The 16,265-nt window shown below is 35.9% G+C and overlaps 1 protein-coding gene across 5 annotated transcripts in view; it reads left to right on the forward strand.

The window, feature by feature from the left end:
* SERPINB7 (serpin family B member 7) overlaps window positions 1-16,265 on the forward strand; it is a 52,314-nt gene that overhangs the window by 32,193 nt on the left and 3,856 nt on the right. For 4 of the 5 annotated variants that reach the window (NM_001040147.3, XM_024451278.1, NM_003784.4 and 1 more), the window contains exons 3-7: window positions 7,144-7,194; window positions 7,912-8,028; window positions 11,017-11,134; window positions 13,355-13,497; window positions 15,617-15,763. In NM_001040147.3, coding sequence (NP_001035237.1) covers window positions 7,144-7,194; window positions 7,912-8,028; window positions 11,017-11,134; window positions 13,355-13,497; window positions 15,617-15,763 — 576 coding nt within the window. The remainder of the gene's footprint in view (window positions 1-7,143; window positions 7,195-7,911; window positions 8,029-11,016; window positions 11,135-13,354; window positions 13,498-15,616; window positions 15,764-16,265) is intronic. The other variant, NM_001261831.2, reaches the window with a different exon arrangement.

Below are 16,265 nucleotides of genomic sequence, written 5' to 3' on the forward strand. Positions count from 1 at the left end.
TCACCATAAATCACACATTTCTATTTTAAATGAATCCCGGCTCAATTTATGGCTTCCATCTGTGTGTCTCTTTTAAGCATTCCCATGGATCTGTGTTTCTTTTTCTTTTTGATGCTCAAAGTGTCATAGCTTCGCCAGTAGATATCTCTTTAACCCAATCTTTTTAAACAATCCTTCCCAATAACTTTAAAATATTTTTGCTTTCTGACAAGACGTTCTGGGCTTGTCTTGAGTTATCTTAGCTCCAAAAGGAGCTCAGCTATTCCTCATGAAACTCTGGCTCATTTACTCTATTAAATATATAGTATAGAGTAAATATATATGTTTACTTGATTAAAGTCAAGAATCAGTGTGCTTGAGGTTCAATGCAGTTGAAGTGCCATGAAGGCTGCTCACCATTTGAGTGAAAGAGCTGGAAAAGCGTATTTACTGACAAAGTCATGGGTTCAGACTCATGGTTTCTTTTTGTTGTTGTGTTTTGTTTTTTTTGTGTGTGTTTTTATTTTCATTTAGATCTAATAATGCTGTTCTTTCTTATAGTGTTTGAATATAAAAGTATTAAAAAGTGATTTTCCTATTTCGTAAGCTACTTACTCCTCTCTTCTCTCACAAGACATTTCCATTGAAATGCTTTATATATATATATAATATACGTATATATACACATATATAATATACGTATATATACACATATATAATATACTTATATATACACATATATAATATACGTATATATACACATATATAATATACGTATATATACACATATATAATATACGTATATATACACATATATATAATATATGTATATATAATATACTTATATATACATATATACATATAATATAAGTATATATATGTATATATGTATATATATACGTATATACATATATACACACACACACACACACACACACCAGCATGGCACATGGCACACACACACCAGCATGGCACATACGTGTATATATATATATATATATATATACACACACACACATCCACACATTTCCTTTGAAATGCATTATTTTATATATTATATATAGTTTGGATTACACGTTTGGATTATATATGTATGAGAGCCATATGTTTGGACTTCCTTCTCTCAACGTTTCCATTGAAATACATTATGAAATATATACGTATACACACACGCATATATATATTTTTCTAAAGTTATGTTTGGATTACAATATTATTTAAAAGTTGTACAAATTTGTATTTTCTAAAATGCAACTGAGTTTTACAAAAAGCATTTAAAAATAATCACTATAATATATTACGTATTCTACCACTCTCTAAGACGAAATAATAGTTTCATAATTTGGCATGAATATGCAGGTAGAAGCCCAAGGATGATTCATAGTATCTTTTTTTTTAAAAAAAATCCTTAATCCAAATGTCCTGAAATTTCTTAGACTGTATAGACTCATGATTTTCCTCATTGCCATCATCTGAATTCATAAACCATTTATCAGAAAGAAAAATTCTGATTTCCCTACATAAGCACATGAGGGAACATGAAAGTATAGCACACTTTGTATTTCAGATAGAAACACCAAAGAATTAGATAAGAAAAGTAAGAAGAGGAAGAATTGTGATAAACAAGCCCTTTGAAGTTTTATCTAATATTTATCACACATAAATATTTACTGTAGGTTGAATATCCCTTATCTAAAATGCCTGGGACCAAGTGTTTTGGATTTTGGATTTTTTCCCATTTGGGATTTTTTTAGATTTCAGCAAGTTTGTTTATACATGAGATGGGATAAGACCCAGGTATAAACATGAAATTCATTTATGTTTCATATACAACCTATACATATAGCATGAAGGTAATTTTATACTACATTTTAAATCTTTTTATTAATGAAACAAAGTTTTGACCGTGACACATCACATGAGGTCACATATGGAATTTTCTACTTGCGTCATGTTGATGCTCAAAAATTTCAGAATTTGGAGCATTTTGGATTTTGGATTAGGATGCTCCACCTGTAGCATCATTATGTGTCTTTAGTCATGGTAGTTTTACTGTTGAATCTACAATTTCTTGGATTTTTGTAAAGATAAAAACAGATATGTATCATTTCAATATTTGACACTTCTGTTTACTAAGATTCAATTAGGAATATCAGAAAATCAACCAAATTCATATCAAAAGAGAGTAATATTAGTAATGATCAAAGAACGATGTTAAATATTTAAACTTATTAAAACTTTATTCAAAAAGTTAAGGAGAATGACTTCTGGATAGTTATATAATTTTAAAATTATTGCCTGGGTGCCACAAGCATTATCTCAGAAAAGATGTTAGTATGTTTGAATCACTTTAACATGGTATTTTATATTTTTGTTCCATGCACATATTCCTAAATAATTCTTTCCAATGGTAGCTTTAGGACTATTAAAAACAAAACAAAACAAAACAAAAACCAAAAAAGAATTGCAGGGAGTTGTTAAAAAGTTACAGTCTGTCTTAAGAAAAATTTTGGCTAATGAGAAGGGGAGATTCCTTTCTCTGCAAGGCTTCACATGAATTACTACATTCTTTTTACGAGGTACAGTCACAGTCCACATAATGACATTTTGGTCTATGATGGACCACATATATGAGGGCAGTACCGTCAAATTATAATGAAACTGAGGTATTACTATTGTCTAGTGATGTTGCAGCCATCATAATATCATAGCGAAATGCATTACTCATGTGTTTGTAGTGATGCTGGCATAAGCCAACCTACTGGACTGCCAGTTGTAGAAAAGCCCAACACATACAATGATGTACAGTACGTAATGCTTGATAATGGTGACTATTACTGATTTATGCATTTACAACAGTATACTTTTAGTAGTTATTTTAAAGTGTACTCCTTCTACTTACGAAAAATAAAAGTTCGCTGTGGAACAGCCTCAGACAGACCCTTCAGGAGTGATTCCAGAAGGAGGCATTGTTATCATAGGATATGATGGTGCCATGCGTGGTAATGCTCCGAAGACCTTTCAGTGGGACAAGACGTGAAGGAAAAAGACAGTGATATTGACAATCCTGACTCTGTGTAGGCCTAGGCTAAAGTGTTTATGTCTTACTTATTCACAAAAAAGTTTAAAAAGTTAAAAAATTAAATAAATACAGCTCATAGGATAAGAATATAAAGAAAAAATATAATTGTACTGTTGTATGATGTCTTTGTGTTTTAAGACTAGTGTTGTTACAAAAGAATCAAAATGTTTTTAAAAAATAAGAAGTTTATAAAGTAAAAAAGTTAAAGTAAGCCAAAGTTAACTTATTACTGAAAACAAAAATATTCTTTATAAATGTAGTGTAGCCTAAGTGTACAGTGCTTGTGAAGTCTACAGCGGTGTACAGTAACATCCTAGGCCTTCACACTCATTAGTCACTCGCTGACTCACCCAGTGCCACTTCCTGTCTTGCAAGTGCCATTCATGGGAAGTGCCTATACTGTTTTACCAGTTTTCATCTTTCATACAGTTTTTTACTATACCTTTTCTATTCTTAGATGTATTTAATACACAGATATTTACCATTGTGTTACAACTACCTACAGTCTTCAGTACAGTAACATGCTATACAGGTTTGTATTTGGGAGCAATAGGCTATACCATGTAGCCAAGTTGTATAGTAGGCCATACCATCTAGGTTTGCATGAGTACACACTGTAACATTCACACAATGACAAAATCACCTAACCATACATTTCTCAGAAAGAATCCGTGTAGTTAAGTGATGCATGATTGTAATAAGTAGAAGGTTTAAAACTTTGAAGAGCAGACATCAGTCAAATTATATTTTATAACTTATATTTATATAAATGTACATAGCCATTTATATTTTTCTCAAGACATTATGTCATAATCAAATATGACTTCCAATATGTTCTCAGCCTTTACTGGTTAAACTTTCCTCCTTGAACTGTTTCAAAGATTAGCGAGCTGGTCCCATCAACTCCTGACCCCTCATTTTAGGAAAGAAGGATACAAAGGGACCACCTAAGTTCAAGCTGGCCACTGCTCATCTCTCTCTCCATCTTATACTGAGATGATGGACAGTAATGACTTTCATTTGAAACTTTTCATTTTGGGAGCCCTGAGAGACAAACTTCATCTATTTTCTGACATAGGATGAAACAATTATAATGATGTAGTCCAAAGTATAAAGATACATGCTTTTATTTCCTTTCTTATAGTAGTCCAAATAAATAATTCCATGGAGTGGAAGGTCCCTGTTGAACCTCCCTTTCCTAGTAACAAGTGACCAACTCCACTGTTCGCCACTGCTCACCAATGAAGTCGCAGCTGCAATAAAATTGACTAAAAAACTGAGGGAGGATTAAGGATACAGAGTACCCAGTATATTCTCTCTCTGAATTCTTTCTCTCAATTGGGAAGAGATAACTGCCATATTTTTAAAGGTATTGAAAATCCACATTGGCCAAGAGCTTATTCTATTTTCAAGTAGAGATGTTGCAAAGATGCAAGATTCTCAAAATATAGTGAAAGGTTGAAAATTAAAAGACTTATGCTTTCATCATCTTTTCTTTATCATAACATGCATAAATGTTCTTATAGACTGATATGACAGGTCCTTCAGTACCATATGCTCACAGTGACAGTTTATCTAAAGACTAAGAAAGCTCTTCTATAAATCAAATGCTGATGTTCCCAGGCTGTTGAACCAGAATTGTTCAAGGGTCTCTGTCACTCAGTCACTGCAGGTTCTAGTTCAAAATTTTGGATTTTGAATTTTTCCATAGGTGAAAACATGCCATGCATAGTCACTATTGAAATAAAAATCACTTGCAAATAATTAGGTGATAAAAACTACAACTTAATAACAGCAATGACTTCTTGAGCTTTATTGTAAGTATGGACGTTTCTAAACTGAAAAATATTAAGCTTTCCAGTTTTATTATATTATGAATTTAACAAATTTTTCTTTAAACTAAGCCCACTTAATATAAAAATCCCCAAATTAAACACATTTTAAATTTTATAAACCTCCGTAAAATAATTTTGAATTAAAGGAGCAGAGGGGGCAAGTGCTGAAAAGTTCTCTTCTTTTGTCAGAAGCCACCATGGTGAGGTTGATGACAACAATGATGGTGGGATTAGTTAAAAACAGTCAGCTTTGGGGAGGAAGCATTTAATCACTGTTATTCTGTATATACACTGCTATGAGAAAAATCCTCTATCAGACTAATATGGTCAAAATTATGCCTGATACACAAAATATAGTTTTTAAATTTGGTTGGTACAAATGATTTCCTTAACTCAATTTGTATAGTGCCTCCTTTGTGTGAGACAATGTGTAGTTATAAACAATAAGAAAGAAATATAAGGGATAATATCGAATATTAGAGATAGTACAAATTCTAATTATGAGTTTGTATTCTCGATAAGCTGAAAGTTAGGGGAAGCTCCACATGTTGAAAACACTGTAAAACATGGGGTAGGGAGGGAAGGGGAGAAAGAAAGAGTTTTAAGTGTTCATATGGATTTGACCCAGCCATCCCATTACTGGATATATACCCAAAGGATTATAAATCATTCTACTATAAAGACGCATGCACACGTATGTTTATTGCAGCACTATTCACAATAGCAAAGACTTGGAACCAACCCAAATGCCCAGCAATGATAGACTGGATAAAGAAAATGTGGCACATATGCACTATGGAATACTATACAGCCATAAAAAGGATGAGTTCATGTCCTTTGCAGGGACATGGATGAAGCTGGAAACCATCATTCTCAGCAAACTAACACAGGAACAGAAAACCAAGCACTGCATATTCTCACTCTTAAGTGGGAGTTGAACAATGAGAACATATGGACACAGGGAGGGGTACATCATAAACCAGGGCCTGTCAGTGGGTTGGGGAGGCTAGGGAAGGGATAGCATTAGGAGAAATACCTAATGTAGATGATGGGTTGATGGGTGCAGCAAACCACCATGGCATGTGTATACCTATGTAAAAAACCTGCACATTCTACATATGTATCCCAGAACTTAAAGAATAATAAAAATAAATAAATATTTTTTAAAAATGGTGATGACATAGAGTTTTAGAGCCTATTTAAGTAAAACAGTGCTTTTTTGCATAAAATGACATTTCAAGAAATTTAGGAATAATCATTGGTGGGAAATGTTGATAGGTTCCATGATTCCAAAATTACAAAAAATAACAGGAAAATCTGGTAGGTAAAACTTAACAAATATTAAATTAACACATGAATTGATGACCTAATTTGTATTGGCCCAAATGTTAAAATTATAGCTGCCCAGTCACTTCAGAAAGAGGCTTATTCATTCCATAAATCACAAAATAGTCCACAGGTATTTTTATTTTTATTTTTTTTTGAGATGGCGTCTCACTCTGTTGCCCAGGCTGGAGTGCAGTGGTGCTATCTCGGCTCACTGCAAGCTCTACCTCCTGGGTTCACGCCATTCTCCTGCCTCAGCCTCCCGAGTAGCTGGGACTATAGGCGCCCACCACCACAACCAGCTAATTTTTTGTATTTTTAGTAGAGACGGGTTTTCACCGTGTTAGCCAGGATGGTCTCGATCTCCTGACCTCGTGATCTGCCCGCCTTGGCCTCCCAAAGTGCTGAGATTACAGGCCTGAGCCACCGCACCCGGCCAGTCCACAGGTATTCTGAGTTACATCATTGTATAGTGAAGAAGGTGGTCACATTTCACTGACTATATTGAAAACTGTAGAGTTCCGCTGCTGAAATATGCTTTTCATTCAGTGTCAGACTGGGAGAGCTGTGCACTGAGGCATTAATATCCGTGTGTGGACTGACTACCAGACAAGCATGATTTAATTGGAAGCGATATCACCATAGCATTTATGTAAATTGGCACAAATTCCAAAATCCTAGTAAACCTAAGAGAAAATCAAGTTGTGGTAAAGAAAGAAAATGCAATAAAAATTAAAACCAAGTATGCCTGTTGATGTGCATTCAGAGTCATGGGGAGAATCTGCTCTAAGATACTAATGAACTTGGAATGGCAATTAGACACATTTATTGGGAAAGAATATTTTTATTTTTAAAACCTCTTGCAAACTGTTCTCGTAACCTCTGATTCTAATGATTGCTTTCCTTGTGCCCTGTTTACAGTTGCTTCATGTTAACACTGCCTCAGGATATGGAAACTCTTCTAATAGTCAGGTAAAGACAATATGTTCTTTTAGAAAAAGAGAAGGTGAGCCAGGTGCAGGGGCTCAAGCCTGTAATACCAGAACTTTGGAAGGCTGAGGCGGGTGGATGACTGGAGCCCAGGAGTTCAAGACCAGCCTGGGCAACATGGCAAAACCCCATCTCTGCAAAATATACAAAAATTAGTTTATAATCCCAGCTACTTGGGGGGCTATGGTGGGAGGTTAGCTTAAACCCAAGAGATGGAAGTTGGAGAATGTGGAACTATCCTTTCAAAGCAAAGAAACATGCTTTATTCAGATTTCCAGATTGTGAATTTTTCAAGTAAAATTTTTGATAATTTACTTGTTATTTATTACTTTAGTAATATTTTATTTGCATATTGGCCATATTTGGGCAAGAAAGGATGAAGTTAAATGTTTTGCCTTTTTCTTTGTATATTCATAGACAACTTACATTGGTAAAATTAATTAATATATATGTTATGCAAAATCATTACCTTCTGTTAACAATTTTAAGTCCAAGTATTTAGTAAATTATTTCATTTGATCACAGACACTATTTTGAGAAAGGGTAAGACATAGATGTATGTGGCCTTGTTTGCCATTTTTATAGTATTTAAAAAAATTCTTTTATGGTATAATTTGCATGTTTTGTTTTATGTGTAAGTGAGATTATGCATATCTTTGCAGTCCAAAAATAAATTTTTATACATCTTTTTAATAACAGTCAGGGCTCCAGTCTCAACTGAAAAGAGTTTTTTCTGATATAAATGCATCCCACAAGGATTATGATCTCAGCATTGTGAATGGGCTTTTTGCTGAAAAAGTGTATGGCTTTCATAAGGTAAGTGAAACTGCCTTTGTTAGAAGGACCTGAATCTTGTTAAATCCATTATCTGAACAAAGGCTTGTGTCTTTCTACTGAGCAATACAAAGATGGTTTTGTTTCTCATTGCTACTTATTATGTTCTCAGATGTCTTGAATATATCATCACCATTTCCAAAGTTCAACTTTTTACCCAATTAATCCACATATTCAGGTTCATTAGACTGATAGGCTTCAAAACAGAAGAGAACGTGTCTATTGGTAGGGATGCTGAGCTGTAAATGGAATGGAGGAGCAGTCAGCCCATTTAGGGGTGTCCATGGCAGGAAACACATTCTGGGTTCAAGCAATAATCCCACCTCAGCTTCCTGAGTCGCTGTGACCACAGGTGCATGCCACTATGCCCAGCTAATTTTTTTGTTGTTGAGAAAGGGTCTCTCTATGTTGCCCAGATTGGTCTTGAACCCCTGGGCTCAAGTGATCTTCTTTCTTCAGCCTCCCAAATTGCTGCAACTACAGGCATGAGCCATCTTGCCTGGCCAAATTTTATTTTTTATGTCACTTAAGTTTTATGTATTTTTTTTAAGGACATAGACAAGTCTTAGAAGGAGATCAACATGACATACTAGTTGGACTTTTTAAAAAAGTATAAATGCTTAGTGGCTTCTAGCTCTTCTAGAGCTTCTCTCTCTCTCTCTCTTTTAGACAGAGTCTAGCTCTGTTGCCCGGGATGGAGTGCACTGGCGCAATCTCGGCTCACTGCAACCTCTGCGTCTCGGGTTCAAGCGATTCTCCTGCCTCAGCTTCCCAAGTAGCTGGGATTACAGGCACGTGCCACCACATCCTGCTAATTTTTTTTTTTTTTTTTTTTTTTGTATTTTTAGTAGAGACGGGGATTTGCTATGTTGGCCTGGCTGGTCTCAAACTCTTGACCTCAGGTGATCTGCCCACATCAGCCGCCCAAAGTGCTGGGATTACAGGCATGAGCCACTACATCTGGCCTGAGTTTCTTGGAAGTGGTAGAGAATAGCAACATCTATATAACTATCCTGTCCCTCCCCACTGCTATCTTTATTCCTTGCTGACATCTTGCATGTATCAATCTCTTGCATGTTTCAACCTTCCTAGGCCATGGACTACTTAAAACTACTCTTTGTGCGGTGGCTCACGCCTGTAATCCCAGCACTTTGGGAGGCCGAGGCGGGCGGATCACAAGGTCAGGAGGTCAAGACCATCCTGGCTAACACGGTGAAACCCTGTCTCTACTAAAAATACAAAAAATTAGCCGGGCGCGGTGGCAGGCGCCTGTAGTCCCAGCTACTCGGGAGGCTGAGGCAGGAGAATGGCATGAACCCAGGAGGCGGAGCTTGCAGTGAGCCAAGATAGCGCCACTGCACTCCGGCCTGGGCGAAAGAGCGAGACTCTGTCTCAAAAAACAAAAAACAAATAAACAAAAAAACAAAAAAAAAATACTCTTTGTGTCAAAGTGGATGGATGAATGGATGTGTGGATGGAAGAATGAATTAATCAGTAGATGAAAAGAGCTGTATCCAAGGAAATCACACACAAAGCTTGCATTAGAGAGCTAGTCTTATCCTGCAGATAGACAAAGGACAACTAGTGAATCTTCATTATTAGGATGAAAATCCTATAAACTTTAACAGGAAATCCACTAACAATACATGGTTTGTAATACATCTTTCTCTTCTAATTCTGAACATCTTTCCACAAAAATATATTTGTGTATATTCATTGAATTACTAATGTGTTGATAAATTAGATCATTATGACTTTTTTTGTATTAAGAACAGCAAGTATTTCTTAGGCAACTATTATGTCCAAGGCAATGTGTTAGGTACTGGGAATAAAATAATAAGCAAGGCATATATAGTCTTGACTTCACAGAATTTGCTGTTTTGTGAAGGACTCAGACAATCTCAAAGGTAAAAAGGATGCATTATGATAACAGCTGTTAAGAAAAGAAATCAAGATAAACAGACTGTTAGGAAATGTAGGTGGGACCAGGCGTGGTAGCTCATGCCTGTAATCCCAGCACTTTGGGAGGCTGAGGCGGGAGGATCACCTGAGGTCAGGAGTTTGAGACCAGCCTGACCAACATGGTGAAACCCCATCTCTACTAAAAATACAAAAATTAGCCCAGCGTGGTGGCAGGCACCTGTAATCCCAGCTACTTGGGAAGCTGAGGCAGGAGAATCACTTGAACCCAGGAGGCAGATGTTGCAGTGAGCTGACATCACGCCATTGCACTCCAGCCTGCAAGGGGACAAGAGTGAGACATCGTCTCAAAAAAAGAATTAAAAAAAAAAAAAAAAGAAAAGAAAAGAAAGTGTGGGTGGAACCTAGAGAAGATATCTGTCCAGGAGAGACAGCCATACTTGGAACTAGAAAATGGGTAAGACATAATCATGAGCTATATGGGCCATTTCAGGCAGAAGGAATGTTGTTCAAACACCTCTAGTGAGAGAGGAAACATGGCATTTTTGAGCAACTGTCAGGAATGTAGTATCGTGGGACAGCAGAGTAAGGAGAAAGTGGCTATGACGTAAGCAGGGTGGGGATCAGCAGAGTCTTGTCGGCAAGTTTCAAGAGCTTGGGCTTTGTCTTGAGTGCAATAATGTAGCCTTGAAAAATTTGCAGCAGGAAGGGATGACACAGGCAAGGGAGACTGGTTAGGAGGCTATTGAGTTATTTAATATGAGAACGCAGTGGTAAAAGGGTGGGCTTTATCCATTCTCTATTAGCCTCCTCAAATCCATTTCAGATAAACTTAAGTTTAAACAGAGTATTTGCTGAACAAATTCAACTTCAGATACACCAGATCCCCTTCCAGTCCCATTTCCATATATCCCTATATTTACATACTCATTTTTGAGGCAGAGTTGAACCTTTGAATAAAGCAGTCGAAATTAAAAGTTCAAAAATACATTTCTTATATACTTAGTTGGTGATGATTTGTAAATACGAGAACTATATTCTTCTTTATAGGACTACATTGAGTGTGCCGAAAAATTATACGATGCCAAAGTGGAGCGAGTTGACTTTACGAATCATTTAGAAGACACTAGACGTAATATTAATAAGTGGGTTGAAAATGAAACACATGGTGAGTATTGAAATACCCTATTTTTCTACAAGATTTGTCAGTTATATGTGAATACTGGGAACAAAAGCTGGGAGTCTTTTGTACATACAAGGAACAGCTCCTCCTAGTTCAAAGTAATGATTGCTGCTACTTAAAATTGCTTTAGTATTTGTCTGCAATGTGGTTTGGAATAATCTTAATAATTTGAATGCTTTGTACTTTTCAGAAGTTCAGTCTTTTACATTATCTCATTTAATTGGCAAAACCCTGCAGGACAAACATATTATTGTGACCACTTCATATATGAATAACAAGCTGAGTTAATTTGATAAATTAACCTCAATATCTCACCCTCGTTAGTGAACAAAAACTAAGAGTTATTATTTTCTTATTACTTTCAATGACCACATTATTATTTTCAATGACCACAGCATAACATTTCATTTAATAATCAACCTATTTTTTAAAGATAGGGCTGATTTTCATACTTTATAATTGCTTTATGGACTGAATCTTATTAAAGCTATAACATTCTACTGTCAAAGAAATGTATTTTCATGATATTGCTTTTTCCAAGGATGTATAGTATATCTCTCATTTAAAAATGTTCTTTATTTACCAAAATAATTTATGTAACAAAGGTAGTACCTTCCAGAAAAAGTACAGCTCTTTATTGGTAAGTCTCTGTCACAACTAAAAACGTAATTCCAGCTAATGTTCTGGTTTAGTGCAAAGCAAATAAAGAAATTTATTAATCCTTGCTTTGTTCATCAACCAATTCCAAAGCTAGTAGTTGTTTCATTACCTAAGGGTTGGCCTTGATTTGTACTCTAAATATTGTACCTGTATTTACTAAGCCTAGCTGTGCCTCAGAAATATGATATAATATATCTTGCACTTTTAAATGCAAACTTTCAGCAGCATACACTTAGTCCTGGGACTAAGAATGCAGTGTATAAATTTTCTTTTTATTCATTCATTCCTCATTATATTCATAGTGGGTTACTTTGATGTTTAGCCATCACCTGTTTCATATATAGCACTTATAAATCAAGACAAACTATGTAATTATTACTCTTCTAAAATCTAGGTGGGATTCTATTTAATATTTAACATAAGGGTGTCAGATTGCTAACAACTTTTTCTATTTAGACTAGTTATTTATTTCTCTTCCTTTCTCATGTAAATCTATGCATAATTACTCTAATTTTTCATAAGCATATCTACTCAATATTTATTTGAGGAAGCACTTTAAAATGTTGCCAATATTCTAAACAACCCTACCCAGGTCTTGAAGCCCACATCCTCTACACAATATCAGAGCCATCCTTTTGAAAGGCAAATCAGATCCATCATGACCATGACCTTTCTTGTCTTTCAATGAATCCTGAGCAATTATTTCCCATCATCTTCAAAATAATCCACAATTCTTACCAGACATTCAAGCCTCTTCATTATCAGGCCCTTGCTTCCAATCTTGCCAACCTTATTCTCCCCGACAAATACACCTTGCTCTTTCAGGTTTCTGTGCCTTTGAATAAATAGTCTCTGCTTTATGGAAGCTCTTCCTGCTCCCCACTGTTCTTCAGCTAAAGCAGATAGCCACAGAAAAAGTTGGGTGACTTTAATCTGTGCTCCCACAGTGCACTGAGGTCAGACCTCTATGTTACTGGTGGGTTACAACTGCTCTTTGGATGTTGACTCTTCTGTGCTGGACTGGGAGCTCAATGATGGCACAGGCTATGTCTTTCATATTTGTAATTCAAATATGCAGAATAGTGCATAGCATCCAGCAAAAATTTCATTTATGTGGAATGAAGGAGGGCATTACCTTTCAATGGATTGAAGTACTGTAGTAGCAAAAGGTGGCCTAGTCAATGCAGTAAAGGCACTTTGGTACCTATGAGCAGGGACCCTGGGGTTGTCTCCCTGGGTTGGAATCCTATTGCTATCACTTTCTTGTTGTGTGTCTTAATCTCTTTGTGCCTTAGCTTCCTCAACAGGAAATGGAAACAATAATAGTGCCTACCTCACAGGGATTATGTAAGGATTAAACCAAAGATTGCCTTTAAAGGGCCTAGAAAGTGCTGGACACATTAATTGCTCATAGGTTATTCTTAATATTCTTATTGGTGTTATTATGTGTTAAGAAAAAAACTTCATACCAATTAATGGTCTTTTTAAATCATTTTTAAAATTATATTAAAATAAACATTTTTCCCTCAATTTTTTTTTCAAAAGGCAAAATCAAGAACGTGATTGGTGAAGGTGGCATAAGCTCATCTGCTGTAATGGTGCTGGTGAATGCTGTGTACTTCAAAGGCAAGTGGCAATCAGCCTTCACCAAGAGCGAAACCATAAATTGCCATTTCAAATCTCCCAAGGTATGTCGTCAATCTCCTATTTAATTTAGAACTTTTCCACAATCGTATTCCTTTGCAGGACTGTGATAGTTACATAGTAAACTCTAGGTTCACCGTTTTAAACCCATTTCTTCTTTTGCATTACCAATATCATATGGTCAGTTGCTTTATAAAGCAAACTTTCTATTTTCCCTGTCATGCAGGCTATGAAACACCACCAAACGTGTCTTGTAAATTGGTATTCTTTAAAATACATTCAAAATTGAAAGAAGTGGTATGAATGTATCTTAAGATATTATAATTGGAGACCTATAAGAAAATATATGACAAAAGTGTATTTTTCATTTTTCATTTTTTTAACCATGAGGTCTATACTTAAAATCATTTACCATCAATGATTTTCCTGAGTCACAGCAGGGAATGTGTTCTCTTTTGCAAGGGGAAAAGTTATATTTAGTAAAGTTATGCATTTCCAAGTACAAGCCATATGTATTTCTTCATTTAGTTCTGTTTTTGATCTAAAACATCTTATTGCCAACCTTTATAAAACATATATTCTTGGGTTTTAAAATCAATTTGTACACAGTAATCTTAGTACAGCAGAAACAACAAAGCTCTTGCAGTCAGGAATGTTGTATTGGGGCCCCTGCCTTGCTTCACAGAAGCTGCATTCCTGTTTCATGTGTTATTCTTTTTCTCCTAATTTCTTTTTATTTTAAAAAGCATTACTATATCATAATATTGTTTTAAACACTCTTCCTGCTAGTCCACACACCCTATGTAATGTAGCTATAGCAGACAGCTTGTAATGTAATATGCTGTTGAATCTAGATCTCTGATATCAATGTTAGTTCTATCATATTAAAAATTGGTGACATAATCTCTCCAGCATAACCCAGATGTGTGATTCTTTCCCTGCCCCAGTGAGACATCCTGTCTATCACATCCCAGTCCCCATGTGTATCAGGCTCAATTCTGGGGACCTGTCTCACTAAGCAGGTAGATTTCATGTGTGTTCTTTCTGAGGATTGGACTTTAAGTCAAAAAAGGCAACCTTTCCAGAGAAGGACCTTTGGTTCAAGGACAGAGAATTATCTGTCCTCCCCATGTAGGATGTTTTTTCCTAAAAGGGGATATTACAGAAATGTTGACAAGTTTGCAGATCGTAATATTACTAGGAGAAAATTTATTGCACCTCAGTGTTGTCTCTAAATCTATAAATGATATTCTCAAGATAAGAGCTACTTATTTTTTGCCCTAGTGAATTTGAGGGACATTATCAAATACCTTGCAGGAATCTCTATTTTTCTGAGACCTCATGCTTAAATAGCGTATTTTTTTTTTTTTTGAGACAGGGTCTTAAGCTTGCTCAGGCTGGAGTGTAGTGGTGAACTCACTGCTCACTCTAGCCTTGACCTCTTGGGCTCAGGTGGTCCTCCCACCTCAGCCTCCCAAGTAGCTGGGAGTACAGGCATGTTCCACCACACCCAGCTGTTTTTTATTTTATTTTATTTTTAGTAGAGATGCAGTCTCGCCATGTTGCTCAGCCTGGTCTTGAGCTCTTGGGCTCAAGTAGTCCTCTTGCCTGGACCTCCCAAAGTGCTGGGATTACAGGCATGAGCCACAGCGCCTGGTCTTAAATCATGTAATTTTGTTAGTACTAGTCTGTGTTTTACTTCTGAGAAGAAAAAAAAACCTATAGCATTCATTTTTCATTTTAATGTTATTTAGTAAATTTTCATTACTTATTATAGAGACTTTTCAGTTAAAATACTAAGTACAAGGCAATGTTCCAAGTGCTAGCTATATTAATTCACATAATCCTCACAACAATCCTGTACAGCAGGGATTATAGTCATTCCCATTCTATAGATGAGGAAATGGAGGAACAGAGAGGAACAGTAACTCACCCAAGGTCACATAGTTAGGAAATTTTAAACTCAAGGAATCAAATTTGAAGTCTTGGCTTTACCACTAAGATTTGCACCAATGCAACCACTATTGGTAACATGTCAGGAAAAAATCTGCAGGGTCAACTGAGCAAAAATTTATTGACCAAGTACAATATTCTTATATGTATTTGGTTAATAAAGTAAAATGAGGTGGGATCATAAATAATTTTTTGTGACTTGACTTTCAGTGCTCTGGGAAGGCAGTCGCCATGATGCATCAGGAACGGAAGTTCAATTTGTCTGTTATTGAGGACCCATCAATGAAGATTCTTGAGCTCAGATACAATGGTGGCATAAACATGTACGTTCTGCTGCCTGAGAATGACCTCTCTGAAGTAAGTTACGACTGTCATTTTCACTATTGGGAAATAAGACTTTTAGGATACTGTTGATTGAGTTTTCACTGATAAACTGTAAGATTTCAGGGTATTGAGATACTAGAGACTTACCTGCTTATTAATTTATTTGACAAATATTTAAGGGGTACCTAGTATGAGCCAGACATCATTATAGTTGCTGAGATTGACTTAACTCAGTTTAGCATAATTTCAGTTGAGTAGTGATCAAATTGGAACTCTCTCAAATGTCAGCTATGGAATTAAAAAGACATGAGTTTAGGCCTTTTTGGTGTTTGGCCATGAATACAGTCTTCTACGTGTCATTGAAATTTTGCTAGACTGAGCATCTTTAGGCAGGTATGATATGATAGAGTCCTGAGCCTTTTAGAATTAAAATGTATGGTCTCACTGTAATTGGACAAGAGGGTCTCCCTGCCTGCTGCACAGACAAAATCAATTCACTGAGGGCACAGCATTGTAGTAAAGAGAGTTTAATTGA

This window comes from Homo sapiens, chromosome 18 (genome assembly GCF_000001405.40).
Source record: "Homo sapiens chromosome 18, GRCh38.p14 Primary Assembly".
Taxonomy (NCBI): Eukaryota; Metazoa; Chordata; class Mammalia; order Primates; family Hominidae; genus Homo; species Homo sapiens.